The sequence below is a fragment of the Homo sapiens genome, chromosome 21 (assembly GCF_000001405.40).
Source record: "Homo sapiens chromosome 21, GRCh38.p14 Primary Assembly".
Taxonomy (NCBI): domain Eukaryota; kingdom Metazoa; phylum Chordata; class Mammalia; order Primates; family Hominidae; genus Homo; species Homo sapiens.
This window is the reverse complement of record NC_000021.9, coordinates 14884153-14908928: the sequence shown is the minus strand read 5'-3', so window position 1 is coordinate 14908928 and position 24776 is coordinate 14884153. Positions and strand designations below refer to the sequence as shown.

General features: G+C 36.7%; 1 long non-coding RNA gene across 1 annotated transcript in view, besides 2 other annotated features; it reads left to right on the top strand.

The window, feature by feature from the left end:
- ASMER1 (adipocyte associated metabolic related lncRNA 1) overlaps positions 1-24776 on the top strand; it is a 101831-nt gene that overhangs the window by 9740 nt on the left and 67315 nt on the right. The gene's annotated exons all lie outside the window — the stretch shown is intronic.
- Positions 6915-7094: an enhancer, noted in NCBI's record as "active region_18287". NCBI's record gives its function as "activates an Ori minimal core promoter by ATAC-STARR-seq in GM12878 lymphoblastoid cells {active_cell/tissue: GM12878}" and the evidence as "EXISTENCE:reporter gene assay evidence [ECO:0000049][PMID:35858748]".
- Positions 12601-13800: an enhancer, noted in NCBI's record as "CDK7 strongly-dependent group 2 enhancer chr21:16267450-16268649 (GRCh37/hg19 assembly coordinates)". NCBI's record gives its function as "activates an origin of replication core promoter dependent on BRD2, BRD4, P300/CBP, MED14 and CDK7 cofactors, with strong dependence on CDK7, by STARR-seq in HCT116 cells {active_cell/tissue: HCT116}" and the evidence as "EXISTENCE:reporter gene assay evidence [ECO:0000049][PMID:35650434]".

Sequence of the window (24776 nt, the reverse complement as noted above, 5' to 3'; positions counted from 1 at the left end):
GTGGTAAGTTATCATCAGTTTAAAATAACAGGTTATAAGATATTCCTTGCAAGCCTCATGATAATGTCAAATAAAAAAACCTACAACAAACACACAAAAAATAAAAAGCAAGACATTAAAACATACCACCAGAGAAATGCACCTTCACTAAAGAAAGATAGGAAGGAAGGAATAAAGGAATAAAAGACCACAAAACAATCAGAAAACAACAAAACAGCAAGAGTAAATCCTTACTTATCAAGAGTAACATTGAATGCAAATGTACTAAACTCTCCATTCAAAAGACATAGAGTGACTAACTGGATTAAAAAGCAAGACCCAATAATCTGTTGCCTACAAAAAAGATACTTTAACTACAAAGATACATATAGACTGAAAATAAAGGGTTGGAAAAAGATATTCTATGCCAATGAAAACAAAACAAGAGCAGGACTAGCTACACTTATATAAAATAAAATAGATTTCAAGAAAAAAATCTATGAAGAGAGACAAAAAAGCTCATTAAGTAATGATAAAGAGGTCAATTCAGCAAGAAGATATAATAATTGTAAATATATATGCACCCAACACTGGAGCAATTAGATATTTAAAGCAAATATTATTAGAGCTAAAAAGAGAGATAGACCCCAATACAATAATAGCTGGAGACTTCAACAGCCCACTTTCAGCATTAGATGAGCATGTGGACAGAAAATAAAGTAAGAAACATTGGACTTAGTCTGCAGTTAGACCAAATGGACCTAATATTAACAGACACTTACGGAACAATTTTTTTTCCAGCTGCAGAATACACATTTGGTTTCTTAGCACATGGATCATTCTTAAGAATGGACTGTGTGTTAGGCCACAAAACAAGTCTTAAAAGATTTTTTTAAAAATGGAAATAATGTCAAGCACCTTCTCTGACCATAATAGAATAAAACTAGATATCAATAACAAGAGGAGTTTTGGAAACTATACAAACACATGGGAATTCAAAAATATGCTCCTGAATGACCAATGGGTCAATGAAGAAATAAAGAAGGAAATTAAAAACTTTTTTGAAATAAATCACAATGGAAACACAACATATCAAAAAGCATACCAGAAGCAGTACTGAGAAGGAAATATATGGTTATAAGTGTCTACATCAAAGAAGTAGAAAAACTTCAAACAGCCTAATAATACATCTTTAATAACTAGAAAAATAAGAGAAAAAACAAACCCAAAATTGCTAGAAAAAAGAAATAATAAAGCTCAGATATAAATAAAATTGAAACAAAAAATACAAAAGTTCAATGAAATTAAAAGTTGCTTTTTGAAAAGATAAACAAAATCAACAAACCATTAGCTAGACTAAGTAAAAAGAGAAAAGAGTCAAATAAATAAAATCAAAGATGAAAAAGGAGACATTAAAACTAATACTGCAGAAATTAAAAGGATCATTAGAGGCTACTATGAGCAACTATATGCCAATAAATTGGAAAGTCTAGAAGAAATGGATAAATTCCTAGACACATAAAGCCTACCAAGATTGAATCATGAGGAAATCCAAAATCTGAACAGATCAGCAACAAGTAATAAGATCAAAGCTGTAATAAAAAGTCTCCCAGCAAAGAAATGCCCAAGACCCAATGGCTTCACTGCTGAATTTTAGCAATCATTTAAAGGAAAACTAATACCAATCTGATTCAAGCTATTTCAAAAAGTAGAGGAGGAGGGAATACTTCCAAACTAAATCTACAAGGACAGTGTTATGCTAAAATCAATACAAGACAAAGATACATCAACAACAAAAAAAATGTATAGGCCAATATCCCTGATGAACATTGACGCAAAAATCCTCAACAAAATACTAGCAAATTGAATTCAACAACATATTAATAAAAATCATTTATCATGACCAGGTGGGATTTATCCCAGGGATACAAGGATGTTGATACACAAATCAACCTATGTGATACATCATATCAGCAGAATAAAGAACAAAAACCATCTGATCATTTTAATTGTTACTGAAAAGTCATCTGATCAAATTCAATATCTCTTCATGATATAAATTCTCAAAAAGCTGGATATAGGAGGAACATACCTCAACACAATAAAAGCCATATACAACTGACCCAAGCTAGTCTTCTCCCGAATGAGGAACAACCAAAAGGCTTTCCTCTAAGATCTGGAACAAAACAAGGATGCCCACTTTCACCACTGTTATTCAGCATTGTATTGGAAGCACTAGCTAGAGAAATTTGACAAATGAAATAAAGGGCATCTGGATTGAAAAGGAAGAAGTAAAGTTATCCTTATTTGCAGATAACATGATCTTATTTTGGGAAAAACCTAAAGACTCCATAAAAACTATTAGAATTGATAAGCAAATTTAGTAAAGTTGCAGGATACAAAACCGACATAAAAAATCAGTAGTATTTCTATTTGACAGCAGTGAATAATCTGAAAAAGAAATCAAGAAAGTAATCCCTTTAACAATAGCTACAAATAAGATAAAAAGAAAACTAGGAATGGCCGGGTGCGGTGGCTGACGCCTATAATCCCAGCACTTTGGGAGGCCCAGGCAGGCAGATCACGAGGTCAGGAGATGGAGACCATCCTGGCTAACATGGTGAAACCCCATCTGTACTAAAAATACAAAAAAGTAGCCAGATGTGGTGGCGGGCACCTGTAGTCCCAGCTACTCAGGAGGCTGAGGCAGGAGAATGGCCTGAACCCCAGAGGCGGAGCTTGCAGTGAGCCGAGATGGCACCACTGCACTCCAGCCTGGGCGACAGAGCGTGACTGCATCTCAAAAACAAAACAAAACAAAACAACAACAAAAACCTAGGAATAAACTTAAGCAAAGAAGTGAAACATCTCCACAATGTAAACTATAAAACATTGATGCAAAACATTGAAGAGGACACACTAAAATGGAAAGATTGTCTATGTTCATGGAATAGAAGAAACAATACTATTAAAATGTCCATACTACCCAGAGCACTCTATAGATTCAATGTAATCTCTATCAAGATACCAATGATATTTTTTTACAGAAATAGAAAAAATAATTCTAAAATTTATATGGAACCACAAAAGACCCAGAATAGCCAAAGCTATCCTAAGCAAAAAGAACAAAAATAAAAGACTCACATTACCTGACTTCAAATTATACTGCAGAACTGTAGTAACCAAACCAGCAAGGTACTGGCATAAAAATAGACATATAGACCAATGGAACAGAAGATAAAACCCAGAAATAAATCCATATATCTACAGTGAATTCATTTTTGACAAAGATGCCAAAAGCATACATTGGGGAAAGGACAGCCTCTTCAATAAATGGCATTGGGAAAACAAAATATTCATATGCAGAAGAATGAAGCTAGATCCCTACCTATCACTATGGAAAAATCAAATCAAAATGGATCAAAGGCTTAATTCTAAGGTCTCAAACTCTAAAACTACTAAAAGAAAACATTTGGTAAACTATCTGGTACATTGGTATGGGCAAAGATTTCTTGAGTAATACCCCACAACCACAGGCAACAAAAGCAAAAATGGACAAATGGGATCACATCAAGTTGAAAAGCTTCTGCACAATAAAAGAAACAACCAACAAAGTGAAGAGATAACCCACAGAAGGGAAGAAAATATTTGCAAACTACCCATCTGACAAGGGCTTAATGACCAGAACATACAAAGAGTTCAAACAACTCAATAGGATTAAATGTAATAATCTGATTTTAAAATATGCAAAGGATCTGAATAGACATTTTCTAAAGAAGAAACACAAATGACAAACAGGAATATGAAAAGATGCTTAATTAACATCATTGATCATCAGAGAAATAAAAGTCAAAACTACAATGAGATACCATCTCACTCCAGTTGTGATGACTTTTATCCAGAAGACAGGCAATAATGAATGCTGATGAGAATGGCTAGAAAAGGGATCTCTTGTACTCCTTTGGTTGGAATGTAAATTGGAACAACCACTGTGGAGAATGGTTTGGAGTTTCCTCAGAAAAACTAATAATAGAGCTACCATAGGATCCAGCAATCCCTCTGCTCTATACATACCTGAAGAAAGGAAATGAGTGTATCAAAGAGCTATCTGCACTCCTATGTTTTTGCAGCACTATTCACAATAGCCAAGATTTGGAAATATTCTAAGTGTCCATCAACAGACAAATGGACAAAGAAAATGTAGTGCATATACACAGTGGAGTAATATTCAGCCATAAAATATGAGATCCTGCCATTTGCAATGCCATAGATAGAACTGGGAGACATTATGTATAGTGAAATAAGCCAGGCACACAAAGATAAAATGTGCATGTTCTCACTTATTTGTGGGAGATAAAAATGAAAACAATTGAAATCATGGAAACAGAGTATAATGATGGCTATCAGAGGCTGGGAAGGGTGGTAGGGTAGAGAGGTCAGGGTGGGGGTGAGGGAAGGAAACGGGGATGGTTAATGGGTACAAAAATATAGTTATATAGAATGAATAAGATCTAGTGTTTGATCGCACAACAAAGTGTCTGTAGTCACCAATAATTCATTGTACATTTGAAAATAACGAAAAGAGTATAATTGGATTGTCTGTAACACAAAGAAAGGATAAATGCTTAGGTGATGGATACTCTATTTACCCTGATGTGATTATTATGCATTGTATGCCTATATCAAAATATCTCACGTACCCCATAAATATATACACCTACTATGTACCCACAAAAAAAATAAGAAAAAAAAGAACAGAGAAAACTTTCCTCTTTGCTGTGACAACTGAAGATTTACAGAGCACACAAATTGTCTTCTAAATTAATTTTCTCTTTCTGTCAATGGAGTCGTCATTTTTCAATAGATATTCTGCCTTTTCTTTTCTTTATGGCTGTTGTGACCTTCATTCAAGCATCCACTTTCCTGTCTTCTGTCTCAGCTCCCACTTTGCCAGTCTTCAAGTGGGTCACTCCTCGGCCTGAGTTGCTCCCGAGTCATCTCACTATTTTGTAGTGCATCCAGGCTCATGAGCCAACTCAATATTTCTATTGAAAACCTCAGTTTTCCCACTTGCAAATTTCTTGCACTCTATATGCCATGTATAATACCAGATGACGTAAAATTACACTAGTAAAATACATTACATTTTCTTATAAACCACTTTAGCCCATCTCTTTAATATATAAAACCTACCAGTTCTCTTAGCAGAGTTCACAACTGGTGTTTATTCTATCATTTTCCTCTCTTCTTTCTATCCAAGCCCATTCCATCTGCTTGACAAGATGGAAAATCTTTCTGTTTTCCATTATTTCCTGTGAACAATATCACATGTCATTTTACCTAGCCAGCACAAAGTTTTACTCCTAGTTCAGTACATTTTTATTCAATTTCTTTGGCAAGCTAGGAAGAACTGTGACATTCTTCTTACTGAAAAATACAAAAGCCTAAGGTGTAAAGGTTACTCTGTATCTCATCTTTATTAACTATTGTAATCTCATGTTCCAACAGAGCAAATGTAGATATAGACTGTGATCTCTGCTTAGCCTAAACTGAGAACAGCTTTATGGATTCGGCAATTCTCCCAGGCATATATTTGCATGCCTGATTTACATTTGGAGAAGGAAGAAGAGAGGAGAAAGGGAACATTTTATATCTGAAGGCCCGATAGGGCTCTGAGAGATGAGAATGTAGGAAATGCAGAGGATAATATGGTATTGACTTCCTGGAAGGGGTGAATGAATAGTTCTGAGTCCTGTGAATTCAGGAGCTAGACATATTTTTTCTGATTTCTGGATGGAATCCAGCATGTGCACAGCAAGGAAGATTGAAGGAAAGACAGTGCCATGATGGTGCCACATTGCTGTGTAGCACTGGGGACACCAGGAGCTGTCCTGGATAAGGTAATATTATTATTATTTTTTTTTTTTGAAACAGCGTCTTGCTCTGTCCCCAGGCTGGCGTGCAGTGGCACGATCTCGGCTCACTGCAAGCTCCGCCTCCCAAGCTCAAGTGATTCTCCAGCCTCGGCCTCCTGAGTAGCTGGGATTACAGGTATGCACCACCACGCCCAGCTAACTTTTTAATTTTTAGTAGAGACTGGGTTTCACCACGTTGGCCAGGATGGCCTCGATCTCCTGAACTCGTGATCCGCCCCACCTCGGCCTCTGAAAGTGCTGGGATTACAAGTGTGAGCCACCCCACCCGGCCGGTAATATTCTTCATGATCAGTGGACTTAGACCCCTTATGTCCCATGAACCATGGCAAAAAACCAGACGTATTCATACCAGCACAACCAGCTGTCTCTTCACCAGCAAAGTCATTCTCTGGAACGTGCCAGAATTTCTTGGGTGGTGGGAGAAACTCTTCCAATCCTAAGGTTTTCTAGAAGCAGGGAGCAGAAAGAAGTCTGTAACTTTGTGGGCATATATTAATGTGCCTTCATTCCAGTCACAAACTGAGGCTTGATGACATTGGAGTTTCATGAATAAAGAAGGAAAAAGATAGTGTTTCATCCATTACATGGAAAAAAATAACTAGAAAGAGAAATCATGTCAATCTGCAAATATTTACAACCGGGAACATAATTTTAAAAACCTCCTTTCTTTGTTTTCAGTGACACATGATTTGAAGCCAGAAACACGTGATACATCGAGTATTCTCAGTGTGGAATTACATTCGGTTTTCTGGATCCAATAATTTTAGTAGTTCTAAAACTTTACAAATTTCTTTTGTAACTTTCATAAGTTGACTTCTTTATTTATGGGCCAAATTTGATTTGTTGTATGGAAAATTATAGATGTAATTTGCGATCTCTCTATGCGTATATTAAGCAAGGCATAAGCAACCCTTTTGACTGTAGCATAAATACCTCAACATGTCTGACCTTAGGAGAGTTTGTTTGCAGTCTTATGGCTTAAGAACCAGCAAGAAACCTTAAAAATCTATTGGTCAAACTGTTTTGCTAAATCTTAACAGAACAAGTATTCCAAGAACAGAACTACTAGACTTTTCTTTCTTATAGGTGATGAGGTCACCGGAAGTCCCCTTCAAATTTCACTTCTTCTTACCCTGTGGCTCTCTTATGCATGACTTTTGATAGGTTCCACTCAGAGGTCTTTGGTTCTTACCCAGATACTCTGGTTGTAAGGAAGGACTCAAGAATCAATCTCCTCATCAAGCATGTAACTTGGCACCTTTGCTTAATGAGGCCTTCCAGAAGCAAAGTACAGTAAGACCCTGGCAGCATGGTTAGTGTGGCTTCACCACAAGTGACTCATCTTGTTTCATCTTGTTCCAAGTATTCCTGGGATGAAGGTTTGGGTGTCCTATAGCAAACCATTATGTGAGATTACCTAGATCATTCACATTACTGTGGTGTGGAAATTAAACACGGTACTCAAGGGCCGGTGAGTAAAACAAAAAACACTCAGCAGCCAATGCATACTGGGGGTTAACTTTCAGTCAGTGGAGCCCTTAAACCATTTCAACAAAGCACTATAAAAAAAAGAAAGAAAGAAAATCACTGGGCAGTTTGAGCAACTATATGGAGAAAAGTTCTGTTCAACCTTGCCCTTGCACTGTGGATATGAAATAACTACATAACTAATTCTTTTTAGAACTTTTCCGATGGTACTTGTGCCTTATATACATGCTAACTTTGCTAAATTCACACAAAAGCCCTATAAGACCGATAAAAATTTCTTTTCAATAAATGTTTCAGTTGTTAGTGCAAAACATTCTCTTTAAAATTATAGATAGCATTCTTATAATTCTTACTGTGGTTGATAACAACTTAAAATTTTTGAATTATAAAATTTGAATTGAATAGAAACTCACAGAAACAATACATTAATCCTTTGTCTTGGAATTTCTGTGAAACCCTATAAAAGTATGTGTACTCTCTTAGGGTCACCAAATGGCTGAAATGATTTTAAAAAATGACTTTTAAGCCAATGTTTATGTTATCCAAAGCTTTGGAAAGACAATACTAACAAATTCCAGTGGAAAAAAAGAATGTATTACTGAAAGAGAAGTGTTTGAATTGGGCTTTTTAAGTCATAAGGAAGAAGGCCAGCTCAAGGAGTTTAATTTAAGTGAGAGAACGAGGTCTCACAGGAATCCAGATCAAACTGAACACCAAACCTACAGAACTGAATCAGCCCTTCTCTCAAAACTGACTCATCTCTCAAGATGTCTCTTTCAAGGGCTATGTTTTTCTAATTTTTGCTTTGTTTTGTTTTGTTTTAAGACATGCTCTTGATCTTTTGCTCAGGCTGGAATACAGTTGTGGGATCACAGCTCACTGCAGCCTCAACTTCCCAGGCTCAGGTGATCCTTCTACTTTAGCCTCCTGAGTAGCTGGGACTACAGGCACTGGCTACCATGCCCAGCTAATTTTTTGGTATTTTTAGTGGAGATTGGGTTTTGCCATGTTGCCCAGGCTGGTCTCCAACTCCTGGGCTCAAATGGTCTGCCTGCTTTGGCCTCCCAAAGGTTTGGGATTACAGGTGTGAGCCACTGTGTCTGGTCTTGGATGTTTCCTCTTAATCTGCTTTTTTTCTAGTACTCTCTCTATCCTAACTGACTGCTTCTGCTGATTCATTCATTATTCACAGAGCCCAGATGGCTGCACCTATCCTGATTTTTTCATGGCTTCAGCCTCAAACTTTCCTTTCATGAAAGGAAAACAGTTCATTGGACATAGCCCTTTGAATCTCTTAGAACTGATTCCTAAGAGGGAGAATCTGATTGGCTAGGCCACAGGAGTCACAGATTGCTGTCTTATCTGTGGATGAGCCATTTGGTGGGTCATTGTTTTCCCCACATCCAGTCAGCTGTGGCCAGGAAATGGGATGGATCACCTTTCACACAACATGCTTCTTTAGACAGAAGTGGCTACAAGCACAGACACCTTAAATTTCTTACTATTACCAAGAAGGTTGTAGAAATGATTTCCTTAACAAAGGCTTTTCTGCATTTTGAGAAAGAAGGTAATCACATCTCACCCTTTAAATGCTTGATGCATGCTGGATAACACTCAATACTGAGAAACAATTTGAAATATAGGATCCAGGGTTTTTACATCCTGGAATTTAATAAGTTCCATCTTATTAAATTAGCCCTGTGTCTCCCTCATAAAACTATCTGTGTTGCTCTGGGATGCTCAATTTTTTATTAATTTTTATTATCATGATTGAAGCCCTAGAACTTTGGCAGCATGTGTTACTGGTACAGGGACACTGGTTACCAGAGGGCCCCAGTTGTTGGTTAGATAGTGCTGTCTGCTTGGTGACTTGGGTATTAGTGAAGCATGGCCAGAAGTGGGCAAGCATTTCGGAAAATGTACATAGCCCCATTAAAATGCTGACTTGAATGGATTACCAAAACCAGGTTTTGTAGATCAAATTCTTCTTTTGCTTGCTTCTGATGTTACATGTTAAGGCTATTTTCAAGATATAGATGTTGCTGAGACCTAATTCTTTTTCTCCCCTACTTTCAAAAGTATGAAGAACAATTTAAATTTTCTGCCAACGCTTCAGACAGGTTTCTTTTTGTTTTGGTTTTTGAGACAGAGTCTCACTCTGTCGCCCAGGGTGGAGTGCAGTGGCATGATTTCGGCTCACTGCAACCTCCACCTCCCAGGTTCAAGCAAATCTTGTGCCTCAGCCTCCCGAGTAGTTAGGATTACAGGTGTGCATCAACATGCCTAGATAATTTTTTTTTTTTTTTGTATTTTTAGTGGAGATGGGGTTTCACCATGTTGGCCAGGCTGGTCTCGAACTCCTGACCTCAGGTGATCTGCCCACTTCGGCCTCCCAAAGTGCTGAGATTACAGGCATAAGCCACCGCACTCAGCCCAAACAGGTTTTAATTTTTAGCCCATTATGGGTTTTGGAACTAAAATGTTGGGGATTTATAACCATAAAGGGATACAGACTTTGAAACCTGGGATCCCTTCAAAAGAATTAAAGGCAAAAAAGAGTTTGCACCAGGGATTTATAATGAGAATTCTAGCAAGTATTTAACTCTGATGGGCTTGTTACTGGTTGCATTATGATGTGGTATTCCCATTGTAAGTAGACTTAATTATAAACTATAGACCTATGGACAATCAGCCCTATTGAATAATCCTATACAAGGATACTTTGATTATTGGTGTTGCAGGCCTGCCAGCTGTAAACAAATTTAATAACTGGCTGAAGGATTTCTTGACATCCAATGATAAGACTTCATTCTCCCAGTCCTTTCTGAAAACTGAAAAAAGTTATAGATACATAATACTGCCAACTAACATTGAGTACTGATAGGTGCCATATTCTACGATGAGTGCTTCATGTGCTATATTTCATTTAATCATGATGAACTCTCATGGGATATGTATTGTTATCACTCCCTTTTTATAGATGAGGAAAACATTATGTAGAGAAATAAAGTATGTGCCTGGGACAAGACCTAGAAGAGAACTCAGATATGAGCAGAGGCATTTTAGTTCTAATTATAATTGCTTCTAATACCTAACTATGCTGTATTGACAACTGGCTCCCATCCTTAATTAAGGCTAGGAAAACCTATGGATTATCCATTCCAACACCCTAATTCAATAAATAAGGAAGGGGCCCAGAAAAGTGAAAGGGTCCTGTTGAAGTTTAACCAGTTAATTAGGAGTAGAAGTAAACCCAAGTTTCTTAATTCCAAGCCCAATATATTCCCTGGTATGCCAAGGACCCTTACTGGATACAGTTTCCTAGACACAGTGAATTGCTCTTATATGAGTTTATTTCATGGGGTTTTACAGATTCTGAAATAATTCAAAAGAACTGTAGAGACATGAGTTCTAGGGGGAAAACCTTGATATAGAGATTGAGATTTGCAAAGTTTCTTTCTTTTTTTTTTTTTTAGACGGATTCTCGCTCTGTCACCCAGGCTGGAGTGCAGTGGCGCGATCTCGGCTCACTGCAAGCTCCGCCTCCGGGGTTCACGCCATTCTCCTGCCTCAGCCTCCCGAGTAGCTGGGACTACAGGCACCAACCACTATGGCTAGCTTATTTTTTGTATTTTTAGTAGAGACGGGGTTTCATCGTGTTAGCCAGGATCGTCTCAATCTCCTGACCTCGTGATCCGCCCGCCTCGGCCTCCCACAGTGCTGGGGTTACAGGAGTGAGCCACCGCGCCTGGCCGAGATTTGCAAAGTTTCTTTGGATTGATTTTAAGAATTTTTAAAATTTGTTTTAGTCATTTTTCTTGAAAATTGTTCTCATTGTTTTCTTTGAAAATTCCTAAGAGCAGCACACATTATAGTTAGAAAATTTCTAGGATATATATATATCCCAAATGAGAACTTTATGATTATATTTAAAGAAAAAATAAAACTTCTACAACCTAATTGTGAATAATCGAAACCAGGGATTTATAATGATAATTCTAGCAAGTGTTTAACTCTGATGGGCTTGTTACTGGTTGCATTATGATGTAGTATTCCCATTGTAAACAGATTTAATTATAAACTACAGACCTATGGACAATCAGCCCTATTGAATAATTTTTTCGGGTCAAGTCTCCAAGACTACCAATATTATTAAGAAAACAGTTGGGTTTTCTCGGAGCTTGCAGTGAGCTGAGATCGCGCCACTGCACTCCAGGCTGGGCTACAGAGCGAGACTCCGTCTCAAAAAGAAAAAAAAAAAAAAAAGAAAACAATTGGATTTTCTTGCTTCTCTTTTGTTTTCTGCACAAGGTTGATACAGTTTCTATCATGTGGGAGAAGACAGAGAGGTAGGAAACATTGAAATGTCATTTGTGGAAGATACAAATCGAGTGCTTAGCATCATTCTCCAGGATTCTAAACAAGATTCACCTCTTCTAAAAGCACTTATTTATTCATTCTCTCATTCAAGCTTTCATTTACTTATCAAGTATTTATTGCATGTCTAATATGTGCTGGACACTGTGCTAGATGCTAGAATTACCTCTCATCTCTAGGCTGTGTAACATTTAGGAATTGTTCCACACAATTTAGTACATGAGTGAATATAAGGCAGTATATAGTTATGTGTCTTGTTTGCTAGCCTTGTACCTCTAACTGGATTATTTGTTTTCATGAGCAGAGGCTATGGTAATTTGTATTCCAGCACAAGCTGGGTGTAGATCTAAGAAATAAGAAATGTTCTAGTCCTGGTTGTGTTCCAATATTTTCCTTTGCTATCCTGCTGTCAAGATTAAAACTTTGGGAGTGATGAGGTTTAAACATTGCTGAAAACAAAGTCTGATTATAGCTACTTAGAGTGGTAGAACTCTACTTTCCCTTCTTTCTCATTACGCTGCTTTCTTCTTTCTAGAAAAAAATTCTCTTTTCCTTGTCTTGAAGTTTGAAATGAGTATGTTATTTAAGTAAAAATAATATAGTCATATCTAGAATCTGACTCTATAAATTATGTTAAATTTTGTCTTCAGAAGAATTTATTCTAGTATTGGAAAGATGATGGTAATTTTTTGTGCCATACTTTAGATAATGGAATTTGGGAAATTCTTTGCACATAATATTCATCCCAACCATTTATAATCTTTCATGGAGATTTTCTTTCTCTTCATTATAAGCAGACATCTGTGTGGAAGTCATGCTGAGTACAGGGGCTGAGTACAGGGAAGGTGTGAGGGGGCATGGATAAGGGGCCAACTGCAAGAAAAAGTCCTGAGGCCAATTGTTAAAACTAGAATCACAACAGATATATCCAGGTTAGAATTTCAGCCACTGTTGAAATTACTTATTCATTAAATACATATGGAGTATCTATTATGTCCTAAGCACTGTTCTGAGGATATAGTAGTGGTCAAGATGGGAAAAAGTTCCTTTCCTCATGAAGCTTACCTTCTAGAAGATGAAATTATAAAGCCTTTCAGAATATGACACATATTTTGACGACTATTCCAAAACCAGATTTAATCTTTAAAAACTGCAGAGTCATCCTCCTATGGGCATTTAATGTCTGATCGGTTTTTAAAAATTATGTGTGTGATTTTTATGCACATCTCACATTTATTATTATATTTACTAGGTACTATATATACTCCTTTAAGAAATGTAGCTTTAGTGTGATCCAAAGAATATCCAATCTAGTATCATCTAATAATTATACTAGAATTTTCTTCAAAGCTATTTTCGTTGGTTTTTAACTTCTAGTCACATTCTTAACTAACACTTGGGAAGTGGGAGTCGGGGGAGGACAGTAAGTTTCTTTAAAATTAGATGCCTATTTCTTTTAGATATATCTTTATTTTTTATTTTTTAGATCTTGGGTTTAGACTTATTTGCATGCCTGAAATAAATGAAATGAACTCAGAATCTATAGATGGAAATAGTGTCAGTGCTACTGGTACCCAATGTTCTCTGTAATCTAGATTTTTAAAAATTTACCTTTGCGTCATTGGGTGATGCTGGGTTTTCTCTTCAGTTCACTGTCTCCAGTGACCTTCTGTGGAATCTGTTCCTCCAAAGCTTTTGTGATGGGAACACACAGCATGCTGTGTTCCACGTCATGTCAGTCATTACTCTCTTTGACTTTACTTGTGTTCTCAAGTCAATATGTTCCAGATTAATGAGGCATTTGTTCTTAATCAAGAAACTATTTAAGAATACACTTTTAATTTGAATGACTTGTTTATGATTAATTGTTTCAACATGCCCTTCTTATTCTTGAGGATACTTCAAAGTTGCTGCCTTTTCCCTGAACAATTCCCCAATGTCTGAGTACTGGTAGTTGCTATGACCCAGTATCCTCAAGACTGATCAAACTGGTATCGATTTTTTTTGAGAAAATCATTCATAAGTCCCCTTATCTAAAAATCACTTTGAATAATAATAATATAAAGGCAGCTGTTAAGTGAAAATTGAAAGGTTACACATTATATATTTTTAATGTTTCCCTTAACTATATATCTAATGTGGTCATATTGTTTTATGAGGAACACTCTTAGAAATAATTTCTGAAGTAAACTCATTTCCCAACTGATCCATGTGCCATTAACTGATTTAATTAAAATTTACCTTTGATTTATGTTTCCTTATTTAAATCACCAGCAAGTTTGTGTCTGTGTGAGTGCTTTATTTGAAGCTGCAAAATTAAGGGATTCATGGCCTCTAAATAATAAGAGCTAACATTGTCGAGTGCTCATTATCTGCCAGGTTTTCTTCCAATTCCTTTACATCTATTAACTCATTTACTATTCTCAGCTACCACTTGTGGGGGCCCTGTTTTCATATTATTTTACAGACCAAGAAACTGAGGCACAGAGATGCTAAGTAATTCACTCAAGGTCCCACAGATAGTAAGTGGCAGACTGGAGATTGGAAACCCAGCAGTCTGCCTCCACAACCCAAAGTCAAAGTCTACAAAGAGAGAGTAGAAAGTTCAGGTGAGAAATGGAAACTAGGATTGATAGAAATCACTTTGGAATATCTTCTATGTCCCTATGATGGCTATGAGCATCTGAAATGATACTACCGGCCTAATGTTGGGCTTGCTTAAGTAACTCACCTCTTTTTGGGTTTCAGAACATATTTGCTCCATTTTAAAAGAATAAATATGGCTCACGTAGCTTTTAAAATGAAGATTCAATATAATTCTGTTCTTGACTCCACTTAGATTCCATGTTTAAGAATCATTTAAGGTTCATTATTGCTCCTAGTGTAAACTCTAATGGGAACGATGGGTTTAAACCTTCCTGCCACTGAAGACAACATCCTAGAAATGGAAAATTAGCCAGTCAGATTCATTGACAAGAAATTAATGTGTGATTTTTTTCTTTTCATAAGTTCATTTTTCTTTCATAAGTTACTTTCTACATGTTTCTGACAAGTGCACCGACCTTTTTGAGGCTTAACCTTGCATTTGATAAGTTTAGATGGTAGGAATTTTATTCATAAGAACCCACTGGCTTATATATAACAGAATCCAATTCAAACTAATTTGAGCAAGGTGGAAGATTTAGAAGACTCAAAGGTAGAAATGTAGCTGGACTTGAGGTACCATTAGAAACACAGACTCCAGCACCATTAAGAATCTACATGGCTCCCACTTCTGTTACTTGCACACACACACACACACACATACATACACACACACACTCACTTTTTTTTCTTTCTCTTACTTTTTCCCCTTTTCTGTTCTACATGACTGGAAATTCAGTTACTGATAGTTGACCTTTTAGTTTCATACATCACAGTTCAGAGACCCAATGTATACTTCTCACTTCTAGATGCAATATTCCCAAAGGTGAATTCCAGTTTTTTCCGTTTGAATCAGGTGCCCAGCCTGGACTTATATGCTTTAGCTAGGAAATGAAGTCTGGGGAAGGGACTGTGATGAGGTCATCTTAGGTCTAATGTCTACTGTTGAGCCAATTAACTGTGGCCATAGGACACCTTCTGTGATAACCGCACAAATGGAGTGAGGAACACAGGCACTTCCCAGATGAGGGTCCTGGACAGATAACTCCATATATGACTGCTATGGTTAACTCCTTTCTAAGCAGAATAATATGCCCTTTTCTCTCTTTGACCATAATATATAGGACAGTGATAGATAAGTCTACTGTTTTGTGTCTTAAAAAGATGAAAATTTACAAGAAAAAGAAGCTATTGAACGTATTTTATGTACATAGAATTACAATGAATGCAATCTGATAGGTATAAAAGAGAATAATATTTAGCCCCAAACCTATTGAACATATATAGATTCTTTTATAAAAATCGTTGTCTATATTTTGTATGTAAATGGATGTATGTGTCATTATTAATTGATTAAAATTGAGTTTGGGGTACATGATTGATAAAAGTGATACAGAATAAAGGAAGCGCAACTAAATTCTGGGTGATTGCCAGTGTAACTAAATAATACGTAAGAAAGACTTGGGGCCAGGGAAAATAATAATATTAGATAAGACATAATTTGGTATTAATTGGATATGGTGTATTAGTAGATAAGAAGTGAAATCACACGGAATCTTTTATGAAAGTTGAAAACCAGTATGAATATGTAGCTTGAGTCTTAGGAGAACCACGCTATGCTCTCTATATATATATATATATTTTTTTTTTTTTTTTTTTTTTTTTTTTTCTGAGACAGGGTCTCTCTCTGTCACTCAGGCTGGAGTGCAGTGACGCAGTCACAGCTCACTGCACCTCGACCTCCCACAGGCTCAAGCGATCCTTCCACCTTAGCCTCCCAAGTAGCTGGGACTACAGGTGCGTGCCACCATGCCCAGCTAATTTCATAAAATATTTTTGTAGAAATGGGGTTTTGCCATGTTGCCCAGGCTGGTCTCCAACTTCTTAGCTTAAGCGATCCTCCCATCTCAGCTTCCCGAAGTGGCTCCCCTCCCCACACCCCGCTCCCTGGAAGACCCATTCTCTCCTCTTCTCTGCCTTGCCATGCTCTATTCCTAGCCAACTCTGTTTGGGTTCTACCAATTGAATCCTGACTCACTGGACAAGAAATTGGAGAGTAGGAGGAGAGGGAGATCAGAGTCTTTCTTGCCCCCTCACTGCTTCAGTGCCGCCTGTCTGGAGATAGCTGTGTCCCTCTCTGACCACAGGTCCTGTGAGGAGGCTCCACCCAAGGTCCAGCTTTCAGCAAATTCTTTCTTCCTCTTACCCTTTCAGCTCTAGAGGGGTAATGCCTTCCCTCTGTTGCTAGTCTCTGGTGCCTAACCTGCCCTTTTTTGTTTCCTTAATCCTGCCAACTCTTCTATCCATTGTTCCTTCATTAAAGTCTATTCATTTGAAATCTGGAGGGTAAATTATTTTTGTTGCTGGAACCCTGACAATTTACAAGTGAGAAAATTGAAATATATATATAAATATATATAACATATATTTATTTTATTTATAAAAACATAAATATATAACACATATTTATTTTATTTATAAAAACATAAATATATAACACGTATTTATTTTATTTATAAAAACATAAATATATAACACGTATTTATTTATAAAAACATAAATATATAACACGTATTTATTTTATTTATAAAAACATAAATATATAACACGTATTTATTTTATTTATAAAAACATAAATATATAACACATATTAATTTTACTTATAAAAACATAAATATATAACACATATTTATTTTATAAAAACATAAATATATAACACATATTTATTTTATTTATAAAAACAAATATATAACACATTTATTTTATTTATAAAAACATGTATAACACATATTTATTTTATTTATAAAAACATGAATATATAACACATATTTATTTTATTTATAAAAACATGAATATATAACACATATTTATTTTATTTATAAAAACAAATATATAACACATATTTATTTTATAAAAACATAAATATATAACACATATTTATTTTATTTATAAAAACATAAATGTATATAACATTTATTTTATTTATAAAAACAAATGTATATAGCATATATTTATTTTATTTATAAAAACATAAATGTATATAACATATTTATTTTATTTATAAAAAAAGTATGTAACATATATTTATTTTATTTATAAAAACACAATGTATATAACATATATTTAATTTATAAAAACATAAATGTATATAACATATTTATTTTATAGAAACAAATGTATATAACATATATTTATTTTATTTATAAAAACATAAATGTATATAACATATATTTATTTTATGTATAAAAACATAAATGTATATAACATTTATCTATTTTAGGATAAATATATATAATATAATAATAAAAGTATAATTATTATATATTTTATGTGTAAAACATATAAAAATATATTTGTATTTCTCCACGTTCCCTCACTTGAAAATTGTCAGGGTTCCAGCAGCAACACTAATTTACCCCCAAGATAGTAAATGAATAGACTTTAATGTGCTGTATAAACATGTTTTTGGTCAGTGATGGCCCGCTTATATGACAGTAGTTGCATAAGTAAAAATGGAGCTAAAAAATTCCTATCGTCTAGTGACATCTTGATAATCCTGATCCTGTGTAGACCTAGGCTAATGTGTATGTTTTTGTCTTGGTTTTTAACAAAAAAGTTCAAAAATTTAAAAAAAAATTAAAAATAGAAAATGGCTCGTAGAATAAGGATATAAAGAAAGAATTTTTGTACAATTGCACAATGAGTTTATGTTTTAAGCTAAGTGTTCCTACAAAATAGCCAAAAAGTTAAAAACAAAGCTTATAAATAAAAAGGTTACAGTAAGTGAAGATTAATTTATTGTTGAAGAATTAAAAAAATAAATATAGTGTAGCTTGGTGTACAGTGTTGATAAAGTCTACAGTAGTATACAGTAACATCCTCGGCCTTCACATTCAGTCACTACTCACTCACTGAATCACCCAAAGTAACTTCTCATTCTGTAAGCTCCATTCATGGTAAATGCCCTTTACAGGAGTACAATTTTTTTTTGTCTTTTAATACCACATTTTTACTGTAGCTTTTCTAGGCTTAGATACACAGATTCTTACCATCATGTTACAATTGCCTACAGTATTCCATACAGTAACATGCTGTACCGGTCTGTAGCCTGAAAGCAATAAGCTATACCATATAGCCCAGGGGTGTAGCAGGCTATACCATTTATGTTTGTGTAAGTATACTGTATGATGTTCACAAAATGATGAAATTGCCTTAGGATGCATTTCTCAGAATGTGCCTCTGTTAAGCAAGGCATGCCTATGTATGGAGAGAGACTTCTTTCAGTATGCAATTGTGGAGGCTGGTAAGTCCAAAATCTATAGGATCGGGGCAGGCCAGCAGGCTGAAAATTCTTAGGCAGGAGCTGATATTGCAATCTTGAAGCAGAATTTCTTCCTCAGGGAAACTTATTTTTGCCCTTAAACCTTTCAACTGATTGAATGAGGCTCATCTACATTGTTGAGGATAATGTCCTTTACCTAAAGTCAACTGATTATAGATTTTTTAAAAGGTTAGTCCATGATTATAGATATTAAACTCACCTACAAAATATCTCTATGGCCATACCTAGATTCATATTTGAATAACTAGTTACTACAGGCTAGCCAATCTGACACATAAAATTAACCATCACACCACATAGTAAGGAGAGCTATTGCTTAAAGAAACCGAGAGGAAAAGTAAGCTCTTTGAGGAGCAAGAGGCAGATGTAGACTAGGAAGGAACCAGACTTGGGTGATGAGAGAGAGAGATCCTGTATAGCCAATGTTATAATACATAAAATGCAGAATGATTCTTTTCTAAATAACTATCTGTCCAGATATAATGTGGGTAGGACAAAACTTCATATTTTTCCCAATGTGGCTTTGTGGCATTCAAGGCTGTGGTCAGTGCTTTACCAGGGAGGAAAGCTAACAGGAAAGCTCCCTTCCTGCAAGTTCCCTGGTGGCAGGAGGAGTGATGGGGACTGTAGGCACCCTGCCGTTGAAGCTGTATTGTACCCTACTCTCAAAAGGCTTATAATTTTGCAAAGGTGACCCGTCATAGTTCACAAAAGATGAGAGAACAAGGTTACGGTGTGTGCACTCCATTTCTGTTCAGTACCTTTTGTTTCCTCTCTGGAGTTTTTCATGGGTCCAGCATCATCTGGCATCCCTCCAAGGCTGTGGTTTTATTTTTTTACTCGTTCTTGTCATAGAGGTTATATGTTGTAATTTGGACTTTGGTATGCAGTTCATAGTACAGCATGTGTTGTAAATACAGTCAACAAGCCTTTATTGAACAGAAAGTACTTTGAGCATTGTGCGAAGAGCCCTGAACTAAGTATTTTAGTTGGGAAAGATCATTGATTAATAGCATAGCTCTAATCTTCATGGGCTACAGATTGTCCTCCCTGTCAGCACCATGTTGGGTGGCAGGAGGTTGTGGACCAAAGCCTAGGAGAGTTTCAGACTAAACTTAAGCCAAAGCTTTAGACCCCCCACATGAGTCTAAAATCCCAGGTGGGTACCACAGATGAAGGCCCTAGGAACACAGATTGAGCCACAGGAATCAGGAAACAAACAAACAAAAAGCAGTTATAATTAGCAAGGCACAGAAGCAAGGTAAGGAAGCGGGTTTAAGGACCAGGAGATAGGAAAGAGTGAGAAGATCTCTGTAGTCTCAGAGCTGGTGATTCTGAGAGTCTGAAACCAATGTTAGCGTGACTATTTTTAGGTTTAGGAGAAAATAAGTATCCCTGGCTGGCTCAGGGATTGAGGGGCAGAGAATAGATTGCATCCTCGAGTTTCCTTTACAATTCTCTTGGCCCCCATTCGGTTTTAAATGGAAGCCACATTTTCATCAGAATATTTTAGATAAGCTTTCTTTGGAACTCATCTGAACTGTGACCCTGGCTGATAATCTGCCCTACACCTTAGAGCATTTTCTTTCTGAAACAGCAGATGTTTCTGAAGTAGTTTATACCATCACTCACAGACTGAGAATAATTGAGATAATGGATGTCAAACACTAAGCAGTGTGCCTGCCACGTAGTAACCATTCAATAAATGCTAGTGATGATTATCATAGGATCAGGTGCTCACCATTTCTTTTTCACTGCTTGCTCCCACAGAGTGTCAATCATGTGAGAGTCAATTGCTTGTGACTCACACATACTCCCTAATTATTTAAAAAATGCAGGTGAAATTACATTTCATTCCAACATCAGATTCCAGGAGTGCTATAGCTAATCTCTTCTCTTTGGCCTAAGCATACACTATACATGATTCTAATTTCTCTAGCTAGTTTCAGATCCAAGAAAGCATTTGTTTCTTCATTTTCAAACTTTTTAAAAGGGCAAGTGCATGGTGTATCTCTGTATTACTTATTATCAATTTTAAGCTTGGAGAGGTAAAAATCTCTATTCCTGCAGAGTTGATGGGGGCCTGTCAAGTTTCAATTCTCAGATTCTACTTGGCACAATCATCGGACTTTTTCCCCCAACCAGTATCCGAGCACCAAGACAAAGTTCATTTGTCTGAATTCTTGGGATTTCTCTTGGTTTCCTTTAAACAAAACAAAACAAAACAAAAACAAAAAAAACCATAGATACTGTGTTAAAAATTGGACAGTCTTCAGGAACAGCTGTTATTTTAATGGTCATAGTATATGTCCTCATCAGTCTCTGCTGTTTCACACCTTATTTTCTCCAGAATACTTAGATAAATTCCGTCTGGCCTGAGGGCTTTATTGCACTTTGCTTTCTTTGATTGCAGCAATATTTTCTTCACTGGAAGCTCTAATCTCTGTCATCCTTTTGAAAAACATTCTCAGAAATTAGAATTTCCCCATCACTTCCTAGAGTTAAGTGCTGCCAAAGAACCAAACAAAAACCCTCTCTGGGCTTTGGTTCCTCTAACCTTATCATTCCTTCCTGACCTCCTACATTAGCTTCCAGCAGTTTATATGCTAGTGAGTCTATTATCTGGCCAAGCTGGACTTCTACTTTAGAAGTCTGCATTTTGTGGCCAGGCGCGTGCTCACGCCTGTAATCCTAGCACTTTGGGAGGCTGAGGCGGGCGGATCACGAGGTCAGGAGTTTGAGACCAGCCTGACCAACATGGTGAAACCCCGTCTCTACTAAAAATACAAAAACTAGCCGGGCGTGGTGGGGGGCGCCTGTAATCCCAGCAGGAGAATCACTTGAACCCGGGAGGCGGAGTTGTAGTGAGCCAATATGGCGACTCCTTCTAAAGAAGTCTGCCTTTTATTCATAAATGCCTTAACGTTCTCTCTCCTCCTTCTAAAAGTGGCTCTGTTCAGAGCTTGTTTGTCCATTTGGACTATTTGTTTTGAAATATTCAGTTCTCCTTTTTCCTGGCTGTCTACTTTTAATAAGTAACCAGTTAATTTCTTGGATTGATATTTTGGGCAAGAAAAACTAGAGGATATTGAAGTTCGTTTTGGCCTTAGGAGTCTGTGATTCTGTAACTGTGTTCAGTTCATATCCTTTTATTACTTCTTTCCAAATGGTCTCTGTTAAGTGAGAATAGCGCCATTGGTATATTTTGCATCATAATGCTGGATCATCTCTGGATTTGGATGTTGGACCTGCTAGTGGCATGCTACTGGCGGAGTTGTTTAATTTCAGTTTCCTTGTTCATAGAATGGAAATAAAGAAATTATCTATTCCTTGATGTTATGAAAATTAACATATATTATACACTGAATTATAAAACAAAATAAGCTTAGAAGGTGCCTGGCACATTATAAGTGTATAATAACTGTTAGTATTGTATTATTACCCTTCGTACAGTAGATGTTAGGTTAGTCACAATATCAAATGCCACCTATCACAAAGCTGATGTCTTCAAAGAGGGTAGAACAATGTCATGCAGAGATAGGAAATGCACTTTATACAAATGTTAACAGGAGATTAGATGTATCTCACAATATTATCAAACATAAGCCATGATCTAAAGAAATGTGGGAGAAGCTTTTAGACTTAGAAGACATGAAAGCAAAAATAATGCATGGGAAAGCCATTAATAGGCAGCAAATTTTTCTAAGACAGCTCACCTCATACAACGTCTTAATAATTTCATCATTAAAACCCTCAGTGAAAATGTATAGACTTAAATAATTATTTGGATAATGTGAGAACAGTTCTCTCCTCCTGGGGTATATCACCTTACTGAGTAATTTTTTCTAATAAGACAAATAGAACATTTTGGCACCAAATCAAGAATTTTGTCCCTTGGAGGCCTGGAAGCTCATGGAAAGAAGTCATACATATCCACCTGTGTCTATTTTTGCCTACTGTCCCTTGGCATGGGATCTCTGGTTACATGGAGCCATGTGTCCTGAATCTTGAAGTTGGTCTTATTCCAGCATGGGTAGAGTGAAAGAATAGGGTGTTGAGCGTTTTTAGATGCCCCAAATGGATTAATCTGAATCTTAAAACTTATTCCCTGGAGGGACAATCATTATGGGGACAATCCATGGATTCTGATTTCATAAAATGTACATAGTCAAGTATACATAATTACGTTATATAATATAATAAAAAAATAATTATGTATATTTGACCGTCTATATCATCAAAAATATAAAATCGAGGCTATCAGTCTGGACTACAGGTCTAGGCTAATCCCAAAATTGGCTTGGATGTGTGACTAGGTTCTTAGCATACTGTGAGCTTTCTTAGGAAATCAGATTGGAGGTGACCTGAACTGAGGTGGGGCTGTCTAATCTTGCCCCAAAGCTGAGCTAATAATTTCTCTTGCCTGTGGTTGGGACTACGAGGCCAATAAGTTTTGGGGCACTTTCTCTACCTCTTTCCATATAGAGCTTCTTTATCTGATGTGAAGACCCATAATTTGCTCAGAGAATGAATTAGAATACATCCATTTGCAATTAAAATGTAACTTAAACAATTGCTCTTTAAAGTTGCCGTCTATATAAAGCATAAAGTTTCCCTGCCTTGAGTTGGTTTTTCTTTCTTCAGTTAATAGAAGGTTTAGATGCTAAGGATGACTATATTAGTCAGCTCACGCTGCTATAATAAAATACATAGACTGTTTGGCTTAAACAACAGACATTCATTTCTCATAGTTCTGGAGGCTATGAAGTGCTAGGTCAAGGTGCCAACAGATTTGGTTCTTGATGAGGGCCCTCTTCCTGGTTTGCAGAAGGCTGTCTTCTTGTTGCATTTTTACGTGGCAGAGAGAGCAAACTCTGATGTCTCCTCTTCTTATAAGGTCATTACTCCCATCATAGTAGCTCTGCCCTCACCTCCTAATGCCATAAAATTGGGAGTTAGGGTTTCAACATATGAATTTTGGAGGGATACAAGCATTCAGTTCATAACAGTGACCATGAATGTTTAATATTTGTCTGTGTTAGAAACTTTGAAATCTTTTCCAATACCAACTTTGAGGCTTCTTTTTTTTTTTTTTTTTTTTTTTTTTTTTTTTTTTTTTGAGACGGAGTCTCGCTCTGTCGCCCAGGTCGGACTGCGGACTGCAGTGGCGCAATCTCGGCTCACTGCAAGCTCCGCTTCCCGGGTTCACGCCATTCTCCTGCCTCAGCCTCCCGAGTAGCTGGGACTACAGGCGCCCGCCACCGCGCCCGGCTAATTTTTTGTATTTTTAGTAGAGACGGGGTTTCACCTTGTTAGCCAGGATGGTCTCGATCTCCTGACCTCATGATCCACCCGCCTCGGCCTCCCAAAGTGCTGGGATTACAGGCGTGAGCCACCGCGCCCGGCCTGAGGCTTCTATATTGGGAATGAAAGGGTGCTTGCTTTCCCAGCTACTTTGTGGGCATATGACCAGTATTAATATTTTAATTAAATATTGTCTTTGGGGGTTGCATTGATGTCTAAACAAAACTTTCTCTTTGCAGTGTTTAGAAACGACACCACCTGGTATTTAGGCTATAGGGTGAACACAGAGGTCTAAATATAGTTGTTGAAACAGTCCAGACCTATCAGAGTTACTGGATGGATAATTACAAAGTTATTTTGGCTTGGGGTTCTTTTCATCATCTTGCTCTGCTCAGTTTTGGGGTATTGCTCTCATCTGCATGGTTGAAGGTGGGAAGGATTGTCTTCGGCCAACCGTGTGTCTAGCTAGAACTCTATTACTGGAAAGGCAAGAGCTCCTTTGGGGGAAATCAAGCTACCAAAATGTGTATTTGTTGTTTTCCTGTAATGAAAAGTGGCAATTACATCTGCCATTATTTCAGAAGGACAGATGGACTTTACTAGTAAAGCAGCTGGGATGTCCTAGCTGACCCGCTAATGGAGTTAAAAATGGCTTTGTAAGGAACTCTTTGTACCAATTGGTTCCCAAACTGTCTTGTGAAGAAACG